Here is a 27,371-nt window from a genome sequence, read left to right as displayed (position 1 = left end):
ATTACCCTTGTTGCTATGTTAACTACCTCCCTGAAAATCCTCCCCAACCTTATCCATTCAGGGATGACTGTGGCATCTGATTCACTGTCTTCCTCTCTCCATCATTATATCTGTCATCATGTGACTTAAACATATCTACAGAAAATCAATCTAACTCTTTGGCCTCTGTGTTCCCTTACTTCTTCAACTTCAATCATCTTTTCCTTAACCTTTCCTCAGCCACCTGTCTAGTGAACAGAGGAAGGTAGCTGAGGAGGGTTATGTTCTAGATCATAAAGCCCCCCAAATCATACCACTTCTGAAAAATGTATTTCCATAATTCTATTCTTTGGTCACTATTTCCTTTTCTTCCATTTTACTTACTCTGGTATTCCTACTCTATCTTTTGACCCCCACAAGGTTGTGCAATCCATTAACCCCACTACCTTTTTACATTTCTTTCCTTAATCAGCTGAGGCTCCACAATGCAGCGCTATAACCACTCCCTTGGAAAGATCCCTTGACCTTTCTTCTTATGTCACACTGGCCAGGAAAAAGCCCAGTTCTAATTAAACCTATTGATATACCTTCTAACTATCTATATCTAAGCAACAGAACTAATGAAAGAAACCCTCAAAAACTGGTCTCACTTTAAATCTATGGCCACAAAACTTAAACAGGCACTCAAAACTACCAGATAAACCTATTACACTTCTTTAATAAACTTGTGCTATCTTTCTGAGATGAGTTCATACCTTTTGCTCATTCAATCCTTTATTGCTGCCTTCCTTCCACTCACTCAGCTAATGACCTTGCCTCATATTCATTCCATTAATAGAAGTTATAATTAGAGTACTCCCTCCTTCTCTTGCTTTTAAATCTATCACTTTACCTACATCCTTACTCATTCTGCTTTGCTTTGTAGAATGTAAGGAGACTCCATGTAGCTACCTAAATCTAACCCCTCCAAGGCTACTCCAGAGAAATGTTTCTCAAATTACACCTTAAGAAGGTGTAATTTTTCACGAAGGACCATTAAAAACAAAAATTCCAAGCCATCACAAGTCAACTTTTATTAATTACAATTAATTTACCAAAATTCTGGAACATTTTGGCAATTCCTTAAAAAACTGAACGCACACCAATGATATTCTACTCCTAGGAAATTATCCAAGAGAAATAAAAGCATACTTCCATACAAAAAGCGGTAGAAGAATATCTATGGCAGATCTACTGGCAGTAGCCCAAAACTAGAAATAGTCTAAATGTCTAATACCAGGTTAGTGAATAAACAAATTGTGTGATCTCAAGAAAAATGAAAAGAAAAATACAATAAACTGAATGAAAACAAAAATAGCACATATCAAAATTTGTGGGGCACAGCTAATGCAGTGATAACAGGAAAATGTATAACACCAAGTGTATACATAAGAGGAAAAGCATCAAATCAATAATCTATGCTTCCACCTCAAGAACCTATAAAAAATGAGCCCATCTACATCAGGCAGGAGAATCATAAAGATAAGAACAGACATCAATGAAACGGAAAACAGAGAGAAAAATCAATAAAACAAACAGCTGCCTCCTTGAAAAAAATCAATAAAATTAGAAAATCTTTGGCAAGATTAACTAAAAAAAGAGTAGGGGGGTGGGGGAGAGGGGGAATTGCCAGTATCAGGAATGAAATAGGGTTATCACTGCAGATTCTATACATATCAAAGGATAAGAGAATTTATGCATACATAAATTTGACAACTTGGACAAAAGGACCAATTCACCTAATATGAAATAGATTATTTGACTAGTCTAATAGCTATTAAGGAAGTTGAAAACATAATTTTAAAACTCCCTCCAAGAAGAAATCTCTACAACCAGAGAGTTTCACTTGAGAATTACACAAAATGTTTAAAGTATATAAACATCAATTCTACACAATCTCTTTCAGAAAGTAGAAGAGGAAGGATCACTTCCCAATTCATTTTATGAAGCTAGTTATTATCCTAATACCAAAACTAGGCAGAGAATACAAGAAGACTACAAAACAGTATAACTCATGAATACAGACGCAAAAATCCTTTAACACAGAATTCAGCAATATGTAAAAAGAATTATACACTTATACACCACAACCAAGTGGGGTTTATTTGACGGATGCAAAATTGATTTGGTAGTCAAAAATCAATCAATATAATCCATCACTTACTAACCACCTAAAAACTTACACAATTATATCAATAGATGCAGAAAAGCATTTGACAAAATTGAGTATGTACTCAACATAAAAATTCCTAGAAACATAGGAATACATATAAGAATTTCCTGAATCTGACAGAGCATACATATTCTTTTAAAAACCTGCTATTATTACATACTGAATAATGAAAAACTGAATGCTTTCCTCCTAAGATCAAGAATAAGGTGAAGATTTCAGTGTTCACCACTCTTATTCAACAGAGTGCTGAAGTTGTAGCCAATGCAATAACGTAAGAAAACTAAGTGCATACAAATCAGAAAGAAAGAAATAAAGCTGTCCCCATTTGTAGCTGACATGACTGCCTAGGTAGAAACTCCCAAAATATCTACCAAAGAAGAAAAAAAAGAAATTAAGTCAGAGGACTTGTTGCTAAAACTACATAATGCTAATGAAAGAAATAAAAAATCTAAATAAATAGAGACAGACCATGTTCATAGACCAGAAGATTCAACATAGTAAAGATTTCAATTCTTCCCAAATGTTTAATGAAATTCCTATTAAAATCCCAGCAACATTTTTCTGTAGATATAGAAAAGATTTGGATGTCATCAGGAATGGTGAAGTAAGGAACTCCAGAAATCTTCTCCTCCATAAAAGTGATGAGAACACTGACAAAAATTGTCAAAATTTACACTTTCAGCACTCTGGAATTTAACCAAATGCTTGTAACAATCTGGGAAGCTGTTATTCAAGAAAAATGGCTGAATCTCAGTAAAAACAGCAAGCTCTGTAGAATTTTGAACTTGCTTCATTCCTAAACCCATTGTTCCATTCATGTGGTATCCTTGAAAAGCAACAGCCCACAATCATAGTGAAAACCTGCAGTCTAGCAGCCACTGGAGAGATATGAACAGGTTTGGAGCTCTTTTATAATGGCAAAAAAAAAAAATGCAATTACTTTTGCACCAACCTAATAAATCCTCATTCTCAGAGAAATGCCATTATCTGATCTACCCGGCAGTTTCCTGGGAAAACTTAGTTGTATAAGGCTTGTTTGTATTTGACCTGACTCACAGCTCACCACTGCAAAACAGCCTTTTCCTTGGATGCATTTGTCAAAAACAATCAGAAGCAATTGTTTAGCATCACAACTGCCTGAAGCAGATAACAGTTACAGCAAACAATAAGCTAACCAAAAATCTTAAAAGAAAAGGCTGGGGAATGAGCTTCTCCCCAAACCATATGAGGTTTTGGAAATTCCTGGGATTCTAGAAGGTCATGTGCATTAGCAGGACTGTGTGCATGCCCAGGGCTATGTACATGATCCAGAAAGACCTGAGAAGACCCTAAGTTCTCATCTGTTTCACTTTGTGGTTGTGTGCAAATAGGAAGCGAAGGCTGAGACAGAGTTAACCAAAGTTTTCAACAATCTTAGGAGCATTTATTGAAGAAAAATGATTGAATCTCAGTAAAGTGTGAATACTGCCTGGCTGAATGATGAAGGCATGACCCAATATATACACAGAGATCCTCAACAAAGACTGGGAAACATATGGGTTACAGGCATTTTAGGAAATACAGATTCAGTCATTAGCTAACCACTAAACTAACCTAGTAGTGACTTCAATAGCCACATATGACCAAGAATAAGAACTTTACAGAACTAGGAAAGTCACTAAACAAACAAACACCAACAATATATTCAATGAAACAGCAACAACATCAAGCCCTGGGGAGGGGAATGGGACTGACTTCCAGAGTTGCTAGAGTATGTTACTTAAACTGTTCAGTTTCAACAAAAACTTGTAACACTTTCAAATAAAGGAAAAAGTATGGCCCATACTCAGGAAAAAAGCAGTCAACAGAAAAAGTACCTGAGGAAGTACAGAAATGGACTTATAAGACAAAGGGGCTTTAACCCTTTTTCTGTTTGCCCTGAGAATACTTGCTGGCGGTGCTTACTTTCACATTGAAACTCAGTCAGATTTGGTTAAGCCTCAGAGTGTGTTTATGTAAAATTAAATGAGTGCTGGCAGTGAGCACACGTACTTTTTTTCTAAATAGGAAAAGGATTAAAACAGCGATTTTAAATATGTTCAATGAACTAAAAGAAACCTCCCCTACAAGATATACTAAAAGGCATCTTTAAGGCTGAAATGAAAGGACCCTAGATAGTACTCTGAATCTACACAAATAAATCAAGAGAACCCGCAAAGGTAATTAAATAGATAAATGTAAAATATAACATAAATGTATTTTGTTGTTTATAACTTTTTTTCTTCCTATCCAATATAAAAGAACTATTGCGGTATAAACATATATATTTAGTCTTTGTCCTAGGTTCTTGGCACAGAATTCTTAAAACCCTTGGAATTTTCTGAGTGACAGGAATGTCTTTTATTATTCATAACAAGCCCCTTTCTGCAATATCTGGTTTTATGCTAATGAGGACCAAAAAAATCATGGTCCAACTATCTACTGTTTACAAGAGGCACATTTTAGATTCAAAGACACAAATAGGCTTAAAGTAAAAGGATGAAACTTTAGTCAAAAGAGAACTCTTTATTTCTCCTTTCCTAGCAAGCCAGAGGAAGTATAATACAAAAGCAACACGATCAAATAAACCAACAAAACATATCATTATATCTAAACACAGGCTGATTATCCTTTATCCAAAATGCTTGGCACCAGAAGTGTTTTGGATTTCAAATTTTTTAAGACCTTTGAATATCTGCATTATACTTACAGGTTCAGCTTCCCTAATCCAGAAATCCAAAATGCTCTAAAGTGCATTTCCTTTGAGCATCAGGTCAACACACTCAAAACGGTTTTGGGTTTTGGAGCATTTTTAGATTTCATATTAGAGATACCCAACATGTCAATACTGGCAGTAAAATAATAATAATAATAATAATAATATTTTAAATAACCACAAGTCAAATTTCTGATGATACTGACATGGGATTACAGGAAGAGAAAGTATAAGCTTCCTAATTTTTTTTTCTTAATTAGATGGGAGAATAAAGATACTGATGAACTCTTTTGTTAGAAATGTGTCACTTAAAATTTTAAGGTAATCACTAGAATAGGACTAAATTTAACTTTCAACCTATAGAATAAAAAATAGAATGAGAAAACCTTGGTTAACAGCAACAGAAAATAGAAAGAGAGGAGGAATCAAGTAAAAAGTATAATAAGTAGAAAACATAACAGTAAATGTGAACTGTTTAAACTTCTTCATCTGTTTAAACTCCTTTATTTGCCATCAAATTGAAAAAAATTTCAAAACAAAACCCAGTATTATTTACAGCACATAAACTAAAACATGGTACAGAAATAAAAACAAAATAAGAAAGCTTTAAAATCTAGGAAGCAAAAACTGATATAATTACAAGGAAAAATAGACAAACCTATACTCATAGAAGGAGATACTGACACCTTAAAAATCACTAAATCAGGCCAGGTGCGGTAGCTCACACTTGTAATTCTAGCACTTTGGGAGGCCAAGGCAGGTGGATCACTTGAGGTCAGGTCTTTGAGACCAGCCTGGCCAACGTGGTGAAACTCTGTCTCTATTAAAAATACAAAAATTAGCCAGGCGTGGTGGTGCATGCCTGTAGTCCCAGCTACTTGGGAGACTCAGGCAGGAGAATCGCTTGAACCGGGGAGGCAGAAGCTGCAGTGAGCCAAGACTGCTCCACTGCACTCCAGCCTCGGAGACAGAGCAAGACTCCGTCTCATAACAACAACAACAACAACAACAAAAACTAAATCAAGTAGGTTAACAAAAAAGTAGAACATACGAGTATACATAATTATAGTAAGCCTATTCTAACGTATGTATATATGTGTGTGTATACATATGTCCACACCTGAAGACAGAATGCACATTCTTTTCAAATACATGAAGAATAGGTACAAAAATCAAACACACAATAAAAGCCAAAAAAAAGTCTCAAAAAATTCTTTAAAAAAGTCAAAAGGCCACATTTATTGACCATAAAGCAGTGTTAAGTAGAACTTGACATTTTTCAAAAGCCTAAAAAATTCCATATCCATAGAAATTAAAACAATAAGAACTGCTAGGTAACCTCAAACGAAAACATTTAAATAAAAATTATAATATCTTAAATTGAAACAAAGAGCCTACTAATCAACACACGTGAGATGTAGCCAAATGATGCCCAAAAATTTATATCCTATAATGCATTTATTAAAAATTAGGAAAGATGAAAAATAAAAGAAACACACTTTTTACAATTCAAGAACGTTAAAAAATACTCAAAGCAGAAAAATGAATTAAGAAAGAGGAAATTATTAAATAGTCAACAAAAAATAAAGTTGATTTTTAAAAAAAATTAGTTGAAAAGACTTACAAAGTGACAAGCCCTGGCAAATATGATAAGGGGGAAAAAATGGATACACAAATATCAGTGATAGGAAGAGAAGAAATATAAATGATTGAAACTGATCCAAGAGTATTAAATTATTTACCAGGTCTGCATAAGCCTGAAAACAAAACCAGTTAAGAAAGAACAAAAAATAAAAGTATAGGCCAATCTCACACAGTTCAAAAAATCCTAAATACAAAATTTTATAGTTGAATACAGCAGTATATTAAAACATCAATTAAAATTCATGACAGGAATATAAGGGAAGTTCAACATGAGGCAATCTACCAACTTTGTATTTGCGTCTGGGGATACAGGATGAGTTTTATGTCTTTTTCTGCCTAACCCTAATAAAATAATAGGAATGGAGTAAAAAGGGATCCATCCCATGAGGACAAAAGAAAGGGAAGAGAGATCACTAAATGGAAAGTTTAATAAATACTTAGAAGATGGAAAAACAAGTAACAAATTTAGCAGTATATTATAGGAACCATAGTGTAAAGGGTGAGTGAAAAAGAAAGGGATGTGAAGAACTGATTATTCCTTCTAAAAAATAAAAACAAACAAAAACCCCAGAAATTCTTAGGACTAGGAAATGCCAAGTAGAAACAACATCACATAGAATGCAATTATTCATATCCTCCTTCTCATCCCAATCCCCTTCTCCCAACATACACAACCCTAAGCACATAACACTGACAACCAAGATGCTTCTGTGAACATTTGTGGTTAATTCTTTGGAGAAATTAAATGAGCAGCCTGGGACTTAAAATAAAGGGATAGAAAAAGGGGTGAGGCTGAGAACTAGGAGATTAACACCATGCTTCAACCATCAGAAATGCCTGAAGTTACATGTCTACCCCCAAGGCAGGTAATTTCAAAACTTAGTCTCAGAATGGTCCTGAAGAATAGAAACACACATATATTTGGGCATCTGTTAGCAAAAGAGCCCACTTTCTTACCTAATCATCCTAACATAATTTTGTCGTCAGGCCCACCCACGCACGAAAAATTTGTAATCAGCCTTTTAATGCCTTACTTTTAACCATAAAGAGAACCAAAGATTCTCAGATAAGCAAGGAAAGACTCCAGGAAGAAAGCAAGAAACCAAAGTAAGAAAAGAAACAAAAATCTACTAAGAAAAAACAATATTATAAAGGAAAAAAAACTTTAAAAACTTTTAATTTATATTCTCAGATTGAGAAGCTGCACATATCAAAAACAGGATACTACAAATTGAAACAAGATTTTTCCTTAGCAATAAATTACCTGCAGTAGGCTAAAGTTTTACAATGTAAGTGTCTTCATTTCTAGAAATTGGAGCTATAAACCAAGATTATATCAAAACAGAGTAAAACTCAACAATAAAAATATAATAAAAAGTTCCAGTCAGGGGCAGTGGCTCATGCCTGCAATCCCAGCACTTTGGGAAGCCAAGGCAGGTGGATAGCTTGAGCTCAGGCGTTCGAGGCCAACCTGGGCATCACGGCAAAAACCCATCTCTACAAAAATTCAAAAAAGTACCTGGGTGTGGTCGCATGCACCTGTGGTCCCAGCTACTCAGGAGGCTGAGGTGGGAGGATTATTTGAGCCTGAGAGGCGGAGGCTGCAGTGAGCCAAGATCACACCACTGTACTCCAACCTGGGTAACAGAGACCCTGTCTCAAAAAAAAAAAAAAAAAAAAAGACGAAAAGTTCCATAGTTTAAGTATACTTTGTCTCATTAATTTCAATCATGCATAAAGGTACATACGCATTTTCTACATAAGCGTCATCACTGATTTTTCAAAATAAAAGGTCTATTTCTGTGTTTTAAACAACAACAGAATAAATCCCTTAGACCTTAGTTTTTGCTGTTAAGGTAACCAAATCCACCATTATCCTATTAAAAAACTACAGCCACCCAGCTACAAATATCATAAGGCACAGCTGCTAGTAGTTTTGAGAAATTTTCCACAATTGTCCTCTGAGCAACTACTATACTTCCAAATCTTACTTTCCCTCGGATTAAGAAATAGAGAATGCAGAGGATCTTGGCCATTCCCCAACAAGAATCTGTCTCATAATCTGTATTTGAAAACAAAAGTTAGAGCAAACTTTAATGTAATAAAAATTTTAGTATGAAACCTTACATGTTTATCTTTCCTTTCTATAACATCTTGCTTCTGTTTGCATTTTTGAGATGCCTCCTTAATATCTGTTGCCTGTAAAATTAAACCGGGGAGAGGGGGGGACAGCTAGTTAAAAACTCATGCAAGCAAATTATATGGCCCTGCCCATTCAAATATCGAGTTAACCCACAACAATTTACATCAAGCAAAATCCATAATTATCAACAAAATACCAACAGTTATTTGCAAGTCTATAAAAGGTTATTCCTAATGATATTAATAAACAGTTGCAGTAATACGCATGCATGTTTTTTCTCTTTACATTTATCTTCCTGTCTTATTTCATCTGATCCTAAAAACAACCCTACAGGATAATCAGGACAAATATTACTGACTGGTAGGGCTCAAAAGAGGCCAAGTAACCTTTATACATAGCTAAAAAATGGAAACTAATTATAAAAAATCAGGTCTGATTTCAAATGCAGAGTTCTATCATACCAAGTATGCTACCTCCTTGATATTTTTCATTAACACATAAAACACATACATGACATATTATAGACACATATTACACATCATTAACACCTATAATATGTAATTCAAACATAGTAGAAAACAGGGCTATACAGAAAACAACATTATAGACTAAGACTACTATTCTTGGACAGGCTTGTTTGCAAGGTCGGTCCTTGGTTGTTGTCTGGAAATTTGGATTTTGGGAGTGTTTCTACCATTTCCTAACTGATAAGAGTGGCTCACTGTGCGTGTTTGTACAAACAATGTGGCTGATGCAGAACATCTGCTTTCCTTCTTGCATTCTGGAAGTTAACAACATGCTGCTAGAAGGCCTAGTTGCCTAACGCCCATAAAAACCTTGGGTGCTGAGTCTGTAATGCACTTCCCTTGTAGACAGGACTTTTAAAATGTTGTCATAATTTGATGATGGAAGAATTAAGCACATTCTGTGTGATTTCTCTGGGGGAGGACCCTTGGAAGCTTGTGCCTGGTTTCTTCTAGACTTTGTCCTCAGGGCATTTTCCCTTTCCTGACTGTTTTGCATCCTTTTGCTGTAATAAATCTTAGCTGTGAGCCCTCCTAGGAAATCATGTCTCCGGTGGATCTCTGATGCCAAGAGACAATAGTTTCTTCTGATAGAGGAAAATTAATTTTCTGATGCTAGTAACACTGATGTATGTATGCTTAAATCATACATGCTAATCATGTAAGATAAAGATTACTATTATTGTCCTCACCTGACTGAGGAGACTAAAACTCAGAGAGACTAAACGATTTGCTGAAGGTCAGACAGCTGAGTGAGGATTTAAAATACAGGTCTGTGTGTCTCAAAAGCTATGCCCTGTCCATAACACTTCATCACCTGCCTGGAATTAAAAAAAAAAAATTACAAGTATTGGAAAAAGTTTTCTGCTGGAACAGAATGAGCAGGAAGAAGAACAGCATGAATATTAAACAAAATTAACCACTGTGTTCTGTTGCAAGGCTATGGGTGCTAATAACTACTTTTACTATAGACTGACATAAGGTACCACTTCAGAATTATTTCTTTAGGAAAATAATTCTAAAACATCTTAGGCCATGCAGATTTTCACATAAATAAATTAGGCTCATGGATGTTTGACAATGAGCCTAATATAACAATAGCTGGGCTTCTGTTATAAATAGACAAAACAAAGGGTTAAATATGTTTCCTTAATTAAGAGATCTCAAATTTATTATGTACATATTTTCCACTACAAAAGTAGTTTTACAGTAACAGAAAATTCAAGAACCAAAAAAAGCAATTACAAATCCACAACTTAACTATAACCAACCATCATTAACATAACAACGACTGCCAATTATTAGTTTCATATCCTTGAGGAAGTCGTGTTATCACTGGTATTCAGTATCTGTAACAATAAAATGAGGGGGCTTGTCTAGATAATATCTACAATTCCTTTTCCCCGTAACATTTAAAATGACCAATGGCAACGCTTTTTCAGAATCAGATCTAATCAAGTCCTAAAACCTTTATCTGATCTTAGTAACTGTTTAATTTTTTGGACTTGAGTGCAATAATTTTAACTCACTTTAACCTGTATTAGAATTAAGATATAGTGGAGCTTTTCCCACATGATAGTAGCAAAGTCAAAACTGTTGATTCATTTCCTCTGTTACAAAGTTTACTTTATATTCCTAGATATGGCCTTTCTCACTCAGTAGAAATGCTCAACATAGTATCTGGTACAATCTAGCTCAAGAAGTCATTTTTCTGACTTTCAGGTGCCTAAAAAGAGAAAAGTACAATCACATCTAGAAATCGAAGAGCTCCACATAACTTCTTTTTTTACAAACAAAAGATGAAACTTACATTAGTCAAACCTGTATAAATGGCAATCTTAAATTCAGTAACAAAAACCCTGGAGTAGCATATTCACAAGAATAAAACACAATCTTTAAAACCTTTAAAAATAGAGATGATGCCTGTAAAAAAAAATACTGCTAAGTTCATAACACACTATCTCCTAAATGATCTTTCAATAGCAGAAATCATGTTTCATACAATTTTTTCCCAATAGCAGTGCCAGGCTAAGATCCACCCTTTACCATCACTGACACCCATCTTCAAGCACAGTGGCCAACATCAGGGGTATACAGTACACAAAGGTTGTGAATGGTTTTCTGGTTTCATAAAATTACCTATATATAGCATAAATTCCGCTGGTCTAATTACAAATAATTCTACATATTTGAGGCAACTGACAATTTATATCAGAGATTCTTTATTGATTTATTTTTAAATTTTTATTATTATATACATTTTTTGAGATAGGGCCTCGCTCTGTCACCCATGCTGGAGAGCAGTGGCACAATCTCAGCTCACTGCAACCTCTGCCTCGTAGGCGCAAGTGATCCTCCTGCCTCAGCCTCATGAGTAGCAGGGACCTATAGGCACACACCACCATGCCTGGCTAAGTTTTTTGTGTTTTTCATAGAGACAGGGTTTCACCATGTTGGCCAAGCTGGTCTTGAACTCCTGAGCTCAACTGATCCGCCCGCCTCAGCCTCCCAAAGTGCTGGGATTACAGGCATGAGCCACTGTGCCCAGCCATATCAGAGGTTCTTAAGTAGGGGTCAATACCTTGACTTCAGTGCATCCATGAATCTCCAAAATCTCATGCACGATTTTGGATCTGCCTATACTGCGTTATTTTAGAAGCAGGAATTTAAACAATTCTCAAATAATCTCTAACTTCAAAATCCACCGAAGGTTAGAAGCCATAGTCATAAAAAATATCTAGTTATACTTTTAAAATACAGGGAATATTATTCTATTATCTATTCCAAAAACATCAGATTTTCTATATTGCCCTCCTTCAAAAGGGTGTATAATTACAAAGCAGATGTATAATATATTCACAAAAAGAGCTCAGTGTTTCCAGGAATACCACTATGAATCCTCTTGTACCTAAAAAAAATCATATTTCACTTTTCTCTCTTTATATCTTGGAAGTCCTATAAAGTAGCAACACTTCCACAGTAATAAGTATGTCCTTGAAAATCCTATGGTGGCAGAATTCCTGGTTAAAAAACTTAAGAAATGAAAGATACAAGAAAACCCTTGAAAATATTTTCAAACACCTGCAAAATATTTTTTATATTTGCTAAAATAAAATTCAGATAATCCAAAATTGAAACCAAAAAGTACCTTTTCTTTGATTCGAGCCTCCAAATTGTGACGCTCGTTTTCCATTTCTTCAATTCGACATGTTACAGGAATCTGCCCTTCTTTAAGTTTTCTGACCTCTTCCTTCACTCGGTCACGAACTAGTTTTACTTCTTCATATTCCTGACGAACATTTTCATATTCCTTGCAAATAATTCAACAAACAGAAGTTAATGCCCTACCTTAAACTAACACATATACTAAAAATCAAGATACAGGCAGAAACCAAATGTAAGAAAAGATTGTTTTGATATCAAAACAGGTTTATTAATGTAAATTTGTCCTCTGGGACAACTTCAGAAATAGTAAATACCAGTGTAATGATTTAATAACAGTCCTGATAATCACTGAGCGTTTATTTCTATCACCAGTTCAGATTCTCAGACTTCCATCCTGTTATCTGAAACATATCTTAATGGCTACGAAAATGTGACTTACCTCTAATCTGTCAATAAAGAAGAGATACAGGGATGTATAAAGAAGCAAAAGAAACTCAAGTATAAAGGGTAAAAATAAAAAAAAAAAACAAAATGAAAATGGGTCAAAAGAAAAATAAAAACCAGCATGTAGGTGAAAGTGATGCCTGTCATGTCATAGGAGTATTTGCTAAAAAAAAATTAAGTGGCACACTAAGGCAACATTATATAAGAGTGAATGGGATGATGGTAAGAAAAGAAAAAATAAACATATAAGTACATCAAAAAAGAAGAAAAATGAAAAAAAGGTAAATCAATCTTAGAAAAAATAAGGAAAATCAAAAGACAAAGTGAGTGAAGCAGTAATAATGGACACAGGAAAAATAAAATTTAGAAAAGCCGAAGAAAGGAAAATTTAAGAATCATGAAATGATGGAATAGGGTAGGTAGAAGGGGGAAGACAGAACAAGAATGCCACAAATACTCTTTTTGAAGCAAGTAACAATTATTTCCATTCTAACCTTGGAACAAACACTACAAAACTTTCTTACCTATTTTGTTCTACCAATTATAAAGTAATGCAATGAGGGAATTGAATCTTTAACCCGAACTGTAGTCTTAATAAATTCTCAGTGACCTGACTGAGGACACCCAAAGATTTAATTTTCTGATCATTAACATCTTTAAAACAACAATCAAAAACTATCTGTTGAGGACTAAAATGTGGAAGAATTAAGAGCACTGTGTTAATTATTATTTATTAAACAGTAACAACTAGCACACAGCTAAGGTAATAAACTAGTAAAAGAAAGCCTGGCGCGGTGGCTCACACCCGTAATCAGTATTTTGGGAGGCCGAGGGGGGCAGATCACCTGAGGTCAGGAGTTCAAGACCAGCCTGGCCAACATGGTGAAACCCTGTCTCTACTAAAAATACAAAAAAAAAGTTGGCCAGGTGTGGTGGCACATGCCTATAATCCCAACTACTGGGAGGCTGAGGCAGGAGAATCGCTTGAACCCAGGAGGCAGAGGTTGCAGTGAGCCGAGATCGTACCACTGAACTCCAGCATGGGAGACACAGCAAGACTCCGTCTCAAAAAAAAAAAAGACATGAATTTTATTATGTATAACATATAAAGCCAAAAATGAAAAAGAAGCACCTAACTTGAATACACAGTAACTAATACTTTCATCATAATTACTCTGCTACTTAAAGAAACACGTACTTTGCCTCTAAAAATTATGACTTACCACCCATGGCCTTTTTGCTTCAAGCATCTCAATTAAATCTAAATGTCGCTTCCGTTCATAGAACCTCTCCACATCTTGTTTATATCTTTCATTCCTCTGAACCATTTTCTGTAGATACTCAGTTTTCTCTTTGCATGAGGTCTACAATAAATATATGTTGAACAATCAGTTTGACAGAAAAAATGACAACAGGTCACATCTTTTAACAATGAAAAATAAACGATGGCAAAATTTCACAATAAAGAATTCACAGGAGTTCTTAAGAACTATGTAGACTCCAGCCTAGGCAACAGTGAGACCCTGTCTCAACAAAACACCTAAAACCTGTGTAAAAGCAACATTCATACCCAAGTTCTGGTCTAGGGTCTACAATTTATTAGTCCTAACTGTAAAGAAGCCCTGTCACATCTGAGCCCAGGCTCTTCTTGCCCAAATATCTGCTGCATCCACTTGAAGGGTAGAAGCAATTCACTTAATATAAATGAAAGCTAAACAAAAGCTGTAAAAGTGATATACAAATGAAAAATAGTAATACTAGGATTAGGATGTTAAATGAACACTCATGACTGAAAGGTCTTAGAAACGAGATGAAAGAAAGCTAAGAATTAGCCATTATGGTGTCAATTAATAAATACAAAGATGTACTCAGAACCTAGTAGAATATATGCTTGTATGCTTGTTTTCTTTCAGCGGATGGTCAAGAGTGTAGGTGAGTGTTTCAAGTGAAACTATTTGTTTGACATACAGAAAGGTAAAAGAACAGAATATCTGAAGCTAAAATAACTATAAAAAGCTCAGAACAACTCCTTTGATTATTCACTTTGAATAAGTATAATAAAAACATTTTTTTCCCTGTCTGGTGGACAAAGGTAAAAAATAACATTTAATTACAGTAAAATACATATTATTAAGTATATAAAGTCACAGTTTAAGAGAAAGCAATTGGTTACAAGATTTCTATGCTTATTTCCTGGGTGACACACCAAACCCCTGTGACACAATGTGCCTATATAACAAACCTGCACATGTACCCCTGAACCTAAAATGAAAAACAGATTTCCTTTTTTTTTTTTTTTTTTTTTGAAACGGAGTTTTGCTCTTGTTGCCCAGGCTGGAGTGCAATGGCGTGTTCTCGGCTCACTACAACCTCCGCCTCCCAGGTTCAAACGATTCTCCTGTCTCAGCCTCCCAAGTAGCTGGGATTACAGGCGCCCACCATCACACCCGGCTAATTTTTGTATTTTTAGTAGAGACAGGGTTTCACCATGTTGGCCAGGCTGGTCTCAAACTCCTGACCTCAGGTGATCCACCCGCCTTGGCCTCCTAAAGTGCTGGGATTACAGGCGTGAGCCACCACACCCAGCCAGATTTCCATTTTTTTGACACAGGGTCTCGCTCTGTCACCCAGGCTGGAATGCAGTGGTGCAATCACAGCTCATTGCAACCTTGACCTCCTTGGCTCAAGCAATCCTCCCACCTTAGCATCCCAAGTGCGGGAAGTACAGGTGTGCGCCACCATGCCTGGCTAACTTTTCTCATTTCTTTTCATGTAGAGACAGGGTCTCCCTGTTGCCTAGGCTGGTCTCAAACTCCTGAACTCAAGCGATTCTCCCGAATCAGTCTCACAAAGTATTGGGATTGCAGGTCTGAGCCACCACACCCAGACTAAAAGATTTCTTATTATGAAAATTTACTGTATTTATTTTAGTTGCTGGGATGTAGAAAAAAGATCCATTAAATAAAACACCTTTACAAAGGATATGCTATAAAAGTACATTTTTATGTTTATTAATGGTGAAAATAACCAACATTCCAACTAAATGTGTAATTCTCTTCCAAAGTCTACCCTCATGTGACTGAAAAAAATACATGAGAGAATTGGTTCAACGGAAGTGCTATATTAAATGGCACATGGTATCTCTTCTATTACTCAAAGCCTTACACAGTGCCTGGCACATAGTAGGTGTTTAATAGATACTGAATGAATGAAAGAATAACTTCCTGAGATAATTTTTTTTTATAATACTGTTACTGGTTCCTTAAAAATTCAATTAGTAATACGTATTTGCTGAAATAGTCAACCTTTTTAAACTTCACATTATTAGATCCATTCTCACTCTGTCACTTTAACTGATATTAGCAGTACAATCCTAAGTGAAAAAAAATCACAAATACGAATTCACTCAATGAATCAATACTACTACTCTCTCTCCCATGTTCTGAGATACAGAAATCAATAAGAAACAATACAAATGAGTTGTCTATTTAAAGTACCTCGAGCTGTTTTTCTTTCTCCCTTAAGTTTTTGAGTTCACAGTGATATTTGTGCATTTCTGGGGGACCAATTGACTTTTCAGTGGCTTCGAGGAGTTCAATTTTGCTGAGTTTAGCAAATTCTCCAACTTTGTCCTAGAGCACAAAAATTAAATATCAGCAACTATCATTCATTTACATATATCTTCAAAATGTATTTCACTCAATGCTTACACTTGTCAAGGTGAAACTCATTAAAAAAAACATTTGAGATATAAACCTTTTGTGCATTATTCTTTAGAATAATGAAGATAAACTTAGGATATAAACTGTTACCTTTTTGATCATCTTTAAAAATTTTCTGTGCCAATATTTCAAGGTTGAAATGTCTACATATGTATAATAAAAGTTTGGGAATAAAAGAACACATAGTCCCAAGATGAAAATGATCACTGTCTATTACATATCAGTTGAAATGTTAGAGGGTTTAAAAAGGAAAAAAAAAGGCAATTTCAAACATCTACTTCTGGAGATAATCTGACATCAGCTGGTAAGTGTTAAAATAAATAAAAAGCTTTTAAAAATGTTTAAGTTTTATTTAATTTGCTCATTATGAAATCATCATTGTGTTTCTGAACAAAAAAGAAATTAATATTAGTTAATGCTGTCCCTAGACAGCATTCAAAGTCAAATTTAATAGGTAATATGACTTTAACATTTAACATAAATTATTAGCATTTTTTATGTTTAATAAACTATAACAAGATTTTAGAAGGTATACTTATAAATATAGGAGTTTTATTATATCAAATATTTTGTAGACTCAAATATATGTATAATGTATACGAACAAAAACTGACTAAAAAGTTGTTCATTAACAACATTTTAAGGTTCTACAAATAGAAGCACATAGCTATCTGAGCCACTCTCTGAACTTCAAAAATAATACTTTATTTCAAAATACTCTAATTTAGACTTTTTTACTAATTGAAATTTTCCAAATTACTACAAATTAATAACATTATACTCTAAGTGATGAAATGCTACCTTTACAAAGAACTGTAAGAGTGCTATGTTCAATTTAAATAGCAGTCATTATGATATCCCTTCAACGGCATAAAAAGGAAACACTATATACAAAATTTTCCCATCTTTACATTTATTTCTCTCATACCTGAGGGAGAAACTGGCAAAGATTCCCCACTTGAATATTTAAGGCTGCAACTTTCTCTTCCACTATTTTCTGGGTTGTAGATTTTTTGTTGATGAACCAAAAGGACTGATTTTTTGCCACATCAATCTCACGGGTGATTACAAGATTTCCAGAAGCCCTGAACCTAATTAAAAAATAATTTAAGAATCTTTATATTCAAAATATATACATTAGTTTAGAAATAAAATTCCCAAAATTCTCTTGCACAAAAGGTGCCAGATAGAATTATTATTATGATTTTTACTCCTTTTGATATTTTGGCCCCTCAAGAAGGAAACTTTGGCATTTTATTAGTCATAATGCCATAATTGACCACATCAGTTACTTACTCAACATTCAAAATTATTTAAACTGTTAAAATTAAAGCAAATGTGAACACTAATTCATAAACACTACTAGAGGAGTCACATAGCTGGAGTTGTTTATCCTTTAATTACTATGCTATTCTTCAATCACATGCATTGACTGCAATTCAAAATGTGTTAGTATATTAAAGGGTAGAGCAGTTAAACCTTGAAACTCCCCCTGCTCAGAAAACATATGAATGAAAACTGACTCGTGGCATTTCCAGAAATCAAAACTACCCATACAGGTAGCCCATGGATTCCTCACCATGTACTCCACTCTAAATTCAGAGAGGATTACATCACATGGATATAAAGGAACATTTAGCAATACAGAATCTGAAAGAAGGGTATTTACTTATTTCTCGCTTTTAGAAGTACTACTGCTCCACACCTCCCATCTATTCATCCATCTTCTTCACTGGGATTCAGCAGCATGTGGCAGAAAGATAAATTATTGGTATCCAATCACTAAATGACAATAATAACTTATGAATGTTGTATATATAAATTATATTGTAACCAGACCACTTGGAACAGTAAGACTTTATGACTTTAAAGGAAGTAGTTTTAAACTTTCATTTCCAGCAGAACGACTAATAAAGTACCCTTACTGATCCTCCTGCTGTAAACAACTAAAAATAATAAAATATTAAAACATCTTCATAAATGAATTTATCAGTTAGCATGAAAGTAAGGAATTCTGGCTAACATCATAGTATAGGTGAAAACCCAGAGTGGAAAAATAAAATTGGCTTTCATCTTGAAGGCATTCGCCCAATCAAGTGATCTTGAGGACTCATTTTGATGATCTGCTGGTAAAGGACAAAAACAGACAAAGCCCACAGCTATTCAAGGTGGACAGTCCAATAGAAAGCCATATCTAAGCGATATACCCTCACTGTAAGGGTAAACTAGAAATACTTCACTGCTACCACCACAAGCTGAGAATTCTGTACATTGTGATTCTGAATTGAAAGTATTCAATGGTCTCTGGCAGAAGTTAATAATTTCCTCTGCCGGAATCTATGTTATCTTAAAAGAATTAACACAGATAAAGTTCTAAGAAGAGTAGTTCGCTACAAACACACACACAAGAAGACAAAGCATCAAGAACACTAGCGGAAATAACATAATGCAGAATGATAAATCAAAAATATTAAAGATATTTGGATGACTAAGAAAGCCTAATATGTCTAATAAGAATTCTAGGAGACAGAGAATGGGTCAATGGCAATATTTAAAGAGATAATAAAAAAGAACTTTGCAAAACTGATGAAAGACACCAAACCGTAGGTTTAAGAGTGTCATTAAAACCAAGAAAAGTAAATAAAAAATAAATCCACACCTAAATATATATGAAACTAACATACTTAAAAAAAGAAATGAGTTTATAAGCATCTTCAGAAAAAGAGAATGATTACTATCAAATAAACTAAGATCAGATTCACATCAGAAAACAATGAGAAAAAGAGAATGATTACTATCAAATAAACTAAGATCAGATTCACATCAGAAAACAATGAGAAAAAGAGAATGATTACTATCAAATAAACTAAGATCAGATTCACATTAGAAGACAACAATCAGGCCAGATGTGGTGGCTCACGCCTGTAATCTCAGTATTTTGGAAGGCAAAGGTGGGAGGATCACTTGAGCCTAGGAGTTCGAGACCTGTCTGAGCAACATAGTGAGACCCCATTCTCTACAAAAAATAAAAAAAATTTAAAAAGCTGGGCCTGGTGGTGAGTGCCTGTAGGCTGAGGCAGGAGGATCACTTGAACCAAGGAGGTCAAGGATGCAGTGAGTCATGATCATGACAGGGTGAGACCCCGTCACCAAAACAAAAACAAAAACAAAACAACAAAAAAAGGAATACAGCAATGATATTATACTATACTCTGAATATGAGAAAAGAGACCTGTCAATATAGAATGTTATATCCATGAAACACATCTTTCAAGATTTAGAGCTAAATAATATCGTTTTCAGATTAAAAACTGAGTGTTCCAACAGAAAACTCTCATAAAAGAAAACTTCAAATATCCTTTTGGCAGAAAGTGATCCCAGAGAGAAAATCAGAAATAGAAGAAGGAATGAAAAGCAAAACAGAAATATCTGAGGTAATTCTAAACAAACACTGACAGCATAATTAATATAACTATATTATATTAATAATAATGTTTTGAGGAGTTTTAAAAAGATAGAACTTTAAAAGCATGTAAGTTCAGAGAAGTTATTAAGAACAAAGTACTGTAAAATCTTTGTTTAGCAGGAAGACAGATATTAAGTCTGGACTCCAGCAAGTATACCTGCTAAAATTCCAGTAACCACTAAAAGAATGCCTAATTTCCAAGACAAAAGAGAAGGAAAAATGAAACAAATATCCAACAAAAGCAAGAAAGAAAAGAAATGCTGAAGACTGTGAAAAATAAAAAGCAGAGAATAAGACAGGAAAAATAAGTTCAAACATATATTTGTAAATTGATTATATGCTTTACTTAAAAGACTCCAGAAAAAATAATACAGCTATACTAGTTTAAATGAGATAACAAAAGATATTAAAAACATGAAATGAATGAAAAAAGACAACTAGAAAAATACTGGGAAAAAAAAAAAAGCTGCTAACTACATTAATGGCAAACTAAACGGACTTTAAGGCAAAAGAAAGATAGAGGTCAGTACCTAACAACAGAAAGTTGAATTCACGGCCGGGCGCAGTGGCTCACGCCTGTAATCCCAGCACTTTGGGAGGCCGAGGTGGGTGGATCACGAGGTCAGGAGATCGAGACCGTCCTGGCTAACACGGTGAAACCCCATCTCTACTAAAAACACAAAAAATTAGCTGGGCGTAGTGTCGGGCGCCTGTAATCCCAGCTACTCGGGAGGCTGAGGCAGGAAAATGGCGTGAACCCGGGAGGCGGAGCCTGCAGTGAGCCGAGATCACGCCACTGCACTCCAGCCTGGGCGACTAAGCGAGAAGATAAACAATTTTAATCTTAGATGCAACTAATAATGTCCTAGAAATACATAAGGCGAAAATTGACAGGACAAGGAAAATTCACAAATCTGCATAGAGGAATAGTGTAATACACCTTTGTCAGTAATTAAGGTATCAATCTGACAACTGAAATCAGCAAAAATATAGAAGATTTGACAATATAACTAATAAACTTGCACTAATGCACAAATACAGAACACTGCAGGTATCTACAAAAGAAAACTTATTCTTTTAGCCAAAGAACAATTACTAAAGTTCACTACAAAAAGAAAGACATTTCAAAGGATGAGTAACATAAAACCAGTATCTCTATATATTTAACTGCACTACAATCAAAGTAGAAACCAATACTAAAAAATAAGAAAATCACTACATTAGAAACAACTTCTAATTATGAACTCATAAAGAAAATATTCAGAACTGAAAAACAGTAAATACTATATACTAAAATTTGAGAGATGGAGCTAAAGTAGTAAGTGGGACATTTTTAACGTTAACTGTTCATATTAGGGTAAACAAGACTAAAAATTAGTGCAATAAATATCCATTTCAAAAAATGAGAATCAGTAAAGGTAAGAATAGAAATTAATGAAATAGAAAACCATGATATACGACAAATGCAAAAGTTAGTTCATTGAAAAAAACTACTAAAATTGACAAGTCAATCTTTAGAAGACATACTGTTTTGTATAAAATAATATATATAGTAAACTCAAATAAGAGGATGGTATTCATGTCAATAAAATTTAAAACTAAGAAAAATGGGAAAATCCTTTACGAAGTATAAATAACCACAGTAATCCAAGAATAAACAGAAAAATCTAAGCAACCGATTACTATAAATAAATGAAATCAGTAGTTAGAAAAAAATTAAATCAGTATAGTTAGAAAAAAAAAAAGCCAGATGATTTTTTTTGCAAGACACCCTATAACACACATCAGATTTTTTTAAACAGTAAGCTTAACCAAACATTCAAACTACAAATATCTTTCACAAACAAAATACGGATGTAAAAATTCTAAATAAAATACTAGAAAACCCATCTAGCAACACATCAAAAATACTATGACCAAACTGGGTTATTCTAAGAATGCAAAATTGAGCAAACATCAGGGAATTAATTAATTCTTCAACTTAAATGATATGACCAACTCAATAAATGCGGATAATAAACTCTGTTCTCAATTTACTTGACCTATCAGCAGTATCAGACACAGGTGATAGACAACTGACTCCTCCTGAAGTTGTTCCAAGTGCTGGTTTCCAAGTACTGTATTCTTCTGACTCACTAGCCAACTCTCAGTTTCCTTTCCTAGTTTTCCCTATGTTCAATCTCTAAACGGTGCACTGTAGCAGATACGTTCTTAGAACTCTTCTTTATCTATCCCTGCTTCATTGGTGATTTAATCCATCATAATACTAATGATTTCCCAAATGTGTTTATCTTCAGCTCAGACTTCTCCAAGAATGACAGGTTTATATATCTAACTGCCCACTAAAAACATTTCTACCTGAATCTCAGACCTTTTTGTGTGTGTGTGGAGATGGAGTCTCGCTATGTTGCCCAGGTTGGTGAATTCCTGAGTTCAAGCAATCCTCCCGCCTCTGCCTCCCTAAGTGCTGGGATTACAGGTATGAGCCACCGTGCCCAGCTCTGCCTGAGTATCTACTAGGCATCTCAAACTTTACCATGTTTGATTCCGAAAAGTTCCTTTTTTAAAAAAACATTTTAACATCTCTGAAACTGGGATGCACATTTCAAACTATCTGTGCTAGTTTAATTTTAATTGGAAGCTACAAGTGGTGGCATCTTAGTTCAATGATGTATGATCTGCTCCCAAAACCTTCTGCAGTAGGTCTGTCTACCTCAGTTAATGGAAACTCTACCCTTAATCATGCCAGACATCTTGGAGTCCTCCCTGATATCTTGCTCCTTCTCCCATACTCTGTATATAATTCATAAGCAAATCATAAGCTATCATCTCTCATAGCGTTGTTCTATTAGTCACTTAACTGATATTCTTGCTTTTGCCTTTGCTCTCTTAAAGTTTACTTTCCATACAGCAACCCAATCTGGTTAAACTTTTTAAGTTACATCACATCATTCCTCTGCTAAAAACCAGGCAGCTTCACAGCTTATGCAGAATAAATGCCAACTCCTTACAATGAATACAGGCTTGACTTCCTGATATTTTCGCAGCTTATCTTTTACTATTCTCCTCCTTCAAAGTGATCCAGTCACTGTGGGTACCACTTTAGAGCCTTAGCATTTGCAAATCTCTATACCTGAAATATTATTTCCCCAATTATCTCCATGCTCATTACCTTTCCTCCTTCAGGTCTTTGCTTAAATCCTATCTTCTCAGTGAGATCTTTCCTGATCAGGTTATTTAAAACTGTAAAACTCCACTCTGTCACTCCTATCCTCCTTTTCTGCTTTATTTTTCTATGTAGCACTTATCACCACCTAACATATATACATTTTACTTATCTAACTGTCCCTCCTTATGCCCCTAACTATAAATTCCATGAGGGAAGAGTATCCCCAATGTATAGGTACTCAATAAATATTTGGAAAATGACTACATAAATACATGCCAGAGATTATTCTACCCACCATTCTACTCAAGGAATACATGGCCAGTTAGTATACTTGTTTAATGGCAATAATTTCAACAACTAATGATGAGCTGTTTTACATTTGGTACTCTCAAGGCCATGTGAACCTTCGTGGAAAAAGTGCTTGACGTTTATATACTTAAATTTTATTTATGTGTAGGGTGTTAGGTAAAGCTCTAAATTTATCTTTAAAAAATTAACTTTTTTAAAGTTATATAATAAGATAATTATCACAGCTCAATTTGAATAATTTACATTATGATACTGTGATATACAGGTTGAGTATCCCTGTATACTCCAAAATCCAAAATGCTCCAAAATCCAAAACTTCTTGTGTGCCAACATGACATTCAATGGTAATGGTCATTGGGGTGTTTCATATTTCAGATTTTCAGATTGGGGATGTTGAACCGATAAGTATAATGCAAATATTCTAAACTCAAAACAAATCCAAAATCCAAAACACTTCTGGTCCCAAGTGTTGCAGATAAGGGATACTCAGCCTGTATTAAGAAATATGTAGGCCGGGTATGGTGGCTCACACCTGTAATCCCAGCACTGTGGGAGGCCAAGGCGGGCGGATCACTTGAGGTCAGGAGTTCAAGACCAGCCTGGCCAACATGGCGAAACCCTGTCTCTACTAAAAATACAAAAATTAGCCAGGTGTGGTGGTGGGTGCTTGTAATACCAGCTACTTGGAAGGCTGAGGTGGAAGAATCACTTGAGCTCGGGAGACAGAGGTTGCAGTGAGCCGAGATTGCACCACTGCACCCCAGCCTGGGCGACAGTGACACTCCGTCCCAAAAAAAAAAAAAAAAAAAAAAAATTATTTAGTCTCTGTCCTCAATTCCTGACACAGAACTCCTAATCCCTTGGAATTTCCTAGGTGACAAGTGTGTCTTTTTCTAATGAGGCAACTCTTGTTGGGCTCCTGGATGTGGGCTGGTCACCAGAAAGATAAAGCCATGAACAGAAACTTAGAACCTTCAGCCCCACCAACCTACTCCCCATCCTCTGGGAAGGGAAGCAGGGCTAGAGATTGAGTTTCTTATACCCATGTGATGAAGCCTCCATAAAATTCCCTGAACCATGGGTTTCAGAGAGTTCCCAGATTACGAAACACATCCATATGCTGGGAAAGTGGGGAAAGAAGCTCCTGCACTCCGGACCCTTCCAGACCTCGCCCTGTATTTTGCTAATCATCTGCATCTTCTGTAGTATCCTTTATAATACATGGGTAAACCTAAGTGTTTCCCATCCTAGCAAATAACTGGACCAAGAAAGGGGTCCTGAGAACCTCAATTTACAGCTGGTTGGTCAGAAGTACAGGGCACAACCTAAGACTTACAAATGGCATATAAAGTGGAGGGCAGTCCTGTGTGACTGAGCCCCTAAACTATGGGTCCTGCACTAATTTTTGGTTAGTGTCAGAATTGAACTGAATTGCAGGGTGTGGGGAAAAAACCCCACACATCTGGTGTAGAAGTGTTCTGTGCTGTGTTGAGTTTGAGAATAGCAAAAACAACTTTGGTTTTTCCTATCTCTTAAAATATCCCACACTTAATTAAACTGCCACTTTTATAATAAGTTCTCATGTACATTTCGATCTGTTCCTGGTTTCTACATTCTGCTCCTCTCATCTTCTATACCAGTATCACGCTTATTTTTAAATCAACAACTTTACAGTATACTTCAACATGTGGTAGACAAAAATCTTATTTACAACTTTGCTTTTTCAAAATCTCCTTGGGTTTTCTGGCACATTTATTCTTCAAGATGAAGTTTAGAATCAACTTGTAAACTTACCTGTTGAGACTCTCATTGTAATTGTATCAAATGTATGTATTAATTTACAAAGGATTGACTTTTTTTGTTTTTGTTTTTTTTGCAGACAGAGTCTCACTCTGTCACCCAGGCTGGAGTGCGGTGGCACAATCATGGCTCACTACATCCTCTACCTCCCCAGGCTCAGGTGATCCTCTCATCTCAGTTTCCTAAGTAGCTAGGACTACAGGTGCGCAGCCAGGCCTGGCTAATTTTTGTATTTTTTGTAGAGATGGGGTTTTGCCATGTTGCTCAGGCTGGTCTCCAACTGCTGGACTCAAGCAATCACTTGCCTTGGCCTCCCATAGTGCTGGGATTACGCACATGAGCCACTGCACCTGGTCTGACATGTTAATAATGACATTAACTTTATGTTTCTAGGAACGTATCACGCACCTCCATTTCTTCAGGTCTTGATTTTATATTCTTCAACAAAATTCTATCATATTTTAATAAGTTGGGTATTTCAAAATTTATTTTCTTTTTACTTCCATGTTTATCTTTCTCATCTCTATATAAATAAAAACTGAGTAATTTTTTATAAAAGAACGTTTCCTCATCTCATATCAAATAGTAGGGCTATCAGATAATCTTTAAAGGCTTTTCAGCTCAAAAATGCCACAACTTTCCACTAATATTCCAACAGCAACAGTCTCTAAAAATCACCTAAATAATGTGCATATTTATGTGTAAAGGATTAAAATTATATATACCAAGGATGGTCAACTGGTTTCATCATAAACATCAACTCTAGTCTATCAAAAATAGCTGCCAAGAATGGCCAATTGAGAATATCCAAGCTCAAGGGAAAAGAATACTATGATGAATTATTGGTGTCATAAGGGAGAAAATAAAAAATGGTGACAGAAGTACCAAGTCCTTGTCATACATGAGATTCATCAAACTATTAGCAGTAGTTATTTATAGAATTAGGAATGATGGCAAGAAGGCTTTTATTTTCAACATTATACACTTCTACATTGTTTGCGTTTTTTAAAGACAAGCAAGTATTACTTTCAAGATCAGCAAAAAAAAAAAAACCCAGATACTTTAAATTTGTGAAAAATATTGCAACTTCATCATGACTACTTAATAGTAGTATAGTTCTATTTCATTACCTGCTATAAACTTATCATTTCCTTGATAATTTTTTAAAATAAAATTCTCACAAGTTTTTTTTTTGGGGGGGGCAGGGGGCATGGGCAGAGTCTAGCTCTGTCTCCCAGGCTGGAGTGCAGTGGCGCCATCTCGGCTCACTGCAACCTTTGCCTCCCAGGTTCCAGCAATTCTCCTGCCTCAGACTCCCCAGTAGCTGGGATTACAGGCATGTGCCACCATGCCTGGATAATTTTTCTATTTTTAGTAGAGACGGGGCTTCCTCATGTTGGTCAGGCTGGTCTCCAACTCCTGATCTCAGGTGATCTGCCCACCTCGGCCTCCCCAAAGTGCTCAGATTACAGGCATGAGCCACCATGGCTAGCCTACAATTTAAGTTTTTAAAATATATTTTTTAAACCCCTTACTTATCTGGATTAAGTATTCTTTAAATATTATTTCCAATATTTATGCCATAATACTATATTAATACTCTTTTCTAATCATCAGGAAAACATGAATATAAACTAAGAATTTTATAGGAAAAAGGAGTTTTAGCACTTTTAACACTTACAATTCAATTTCAACCATGCCTCTAGAACATCCTCTCTTCACAAAAAACCCAACCTAAGACATAAAAAAGAAAAAGTGAGCTGTGTAGTGACATTCCCAGGTTAACAATCAGAGATTTAGCAGTCATTATTATTTGTCAAATCAAGATTTTTTTCAGGTACCACTTGTATGTTCGCTCCTGTCACTTTCTAAGGTATCTCTCCCAGATCTGGGTTCCTCCATTGTTCCCTCCCACAAATAACAACAATAATAATATTAGGTAAGATTTATCGAACTCCTATGCACTCCATAGCCTCTTACCAACCTCGTGACAAAGCCAGTAAGTGCCAGAAAAACGATCTGAACCCAGGAAATCTTGGCTCCAGAGCCTGTGTACTTGT

General features: G+C 35.3%; 1 protein-coding gene across 12 annotated transcripts in view, besides 2 other annotated features; it reads right to left on the bottom strand.

The window, feature by feature from the left end:
- The window catches only part of SMC5 (structural maintenance of chromosomes 5), a 95,896-nt gene that overhangs the window by 59,906 nt on the left and 8,619 nt on the right, over positions 1-27,371 (bottom strand). For 6 of the 12 annotated variants that reach the window (NM_015110.4, XM_005251837.3, XM_005251839.3 and 3 more), the window contains exons 3-8: positions 26,993-27,045; positions 17,496-17,658; positions 16,343-16,477; positions 14,069-14,209; positions 12,385-12,546; positions 8,697-8,768 (exon numbers count right to left, since the gene is read on the bottom strand). In NM_015110.4, the coding sequence (NP_055925.2) occupies positions 8,697-8,768; positions 12,385-12,546; positions 14,069-14,209; positions 16,343-16,477; positions 17,496-17,658; positions 26,993-27,045 (726 nt within the window). Of the gene's footprint in view, positions 1-8,696; positions 8,769-12,384; positions 12,547-14,068; positions 14,210-16,342; positions 16,478-17,495; positions 17,659-18,236; positions 18,300-20,563; positions 26,350-26,992; positions 27,046-27,371 lie in introns of those variants that run through there. The other 6 variants (XM_005251838.3, XM_047423033.1, XM_047423035.1 and 3 more) reach the window with 3 other exon arrangements.
- Positions 20,301-20,801: an enhancer, noted in NCBI's record as "H3K4me1 hESC enhancer chr9:72889083-72889583 (GRCh37/hg19 assembly coordinates)". NCBI's record gives its function as "activates a minimal SCP1, AML or CMV promoter by ChIP-STARR-seq in primed H9 embryonic stem cells {active_cell/tissue: H9 hESC(primed)}" and the evidence as "EXISTENCE:reporter gene assay evidence [ECO:0000049][PMID:30033119]".
- Positions 20,802-21,302: an enhancer, noted in NCBI's record as "H3K4me1 hESC enhancer chr9:72888582-72889082 (GRCh37/hg19 assembly coordinates)". NCBI's record gives its function as "activates a minimal SCP1, AML or CMV promoter by ChIP-STARR-seq in primed H9 embryonic stem cells {active_cell/tissue: H9 hESC(primed)}" and the evidence as "EXISTENCE:reporter gene assay evidence [ECO:0000049][PMID:30033119]".

Source organism: Homo sapiens, chromosome 9 (assembly GCF_000001405.40).
Source record: "Homo sapiens chromosome 9, GRCh38.p14 Primary Assembly".
Classification (NCBI taxonomy): Eukaryota; Metazoa; Chordata; class Mammalia; order Primates; family Hominidae; genus Homo; species Homo sapiens.
Note: the sequence above shows the minus strand (reverse complement) of the source record. Positions and strands in the feature narration are given on the sequence as shown.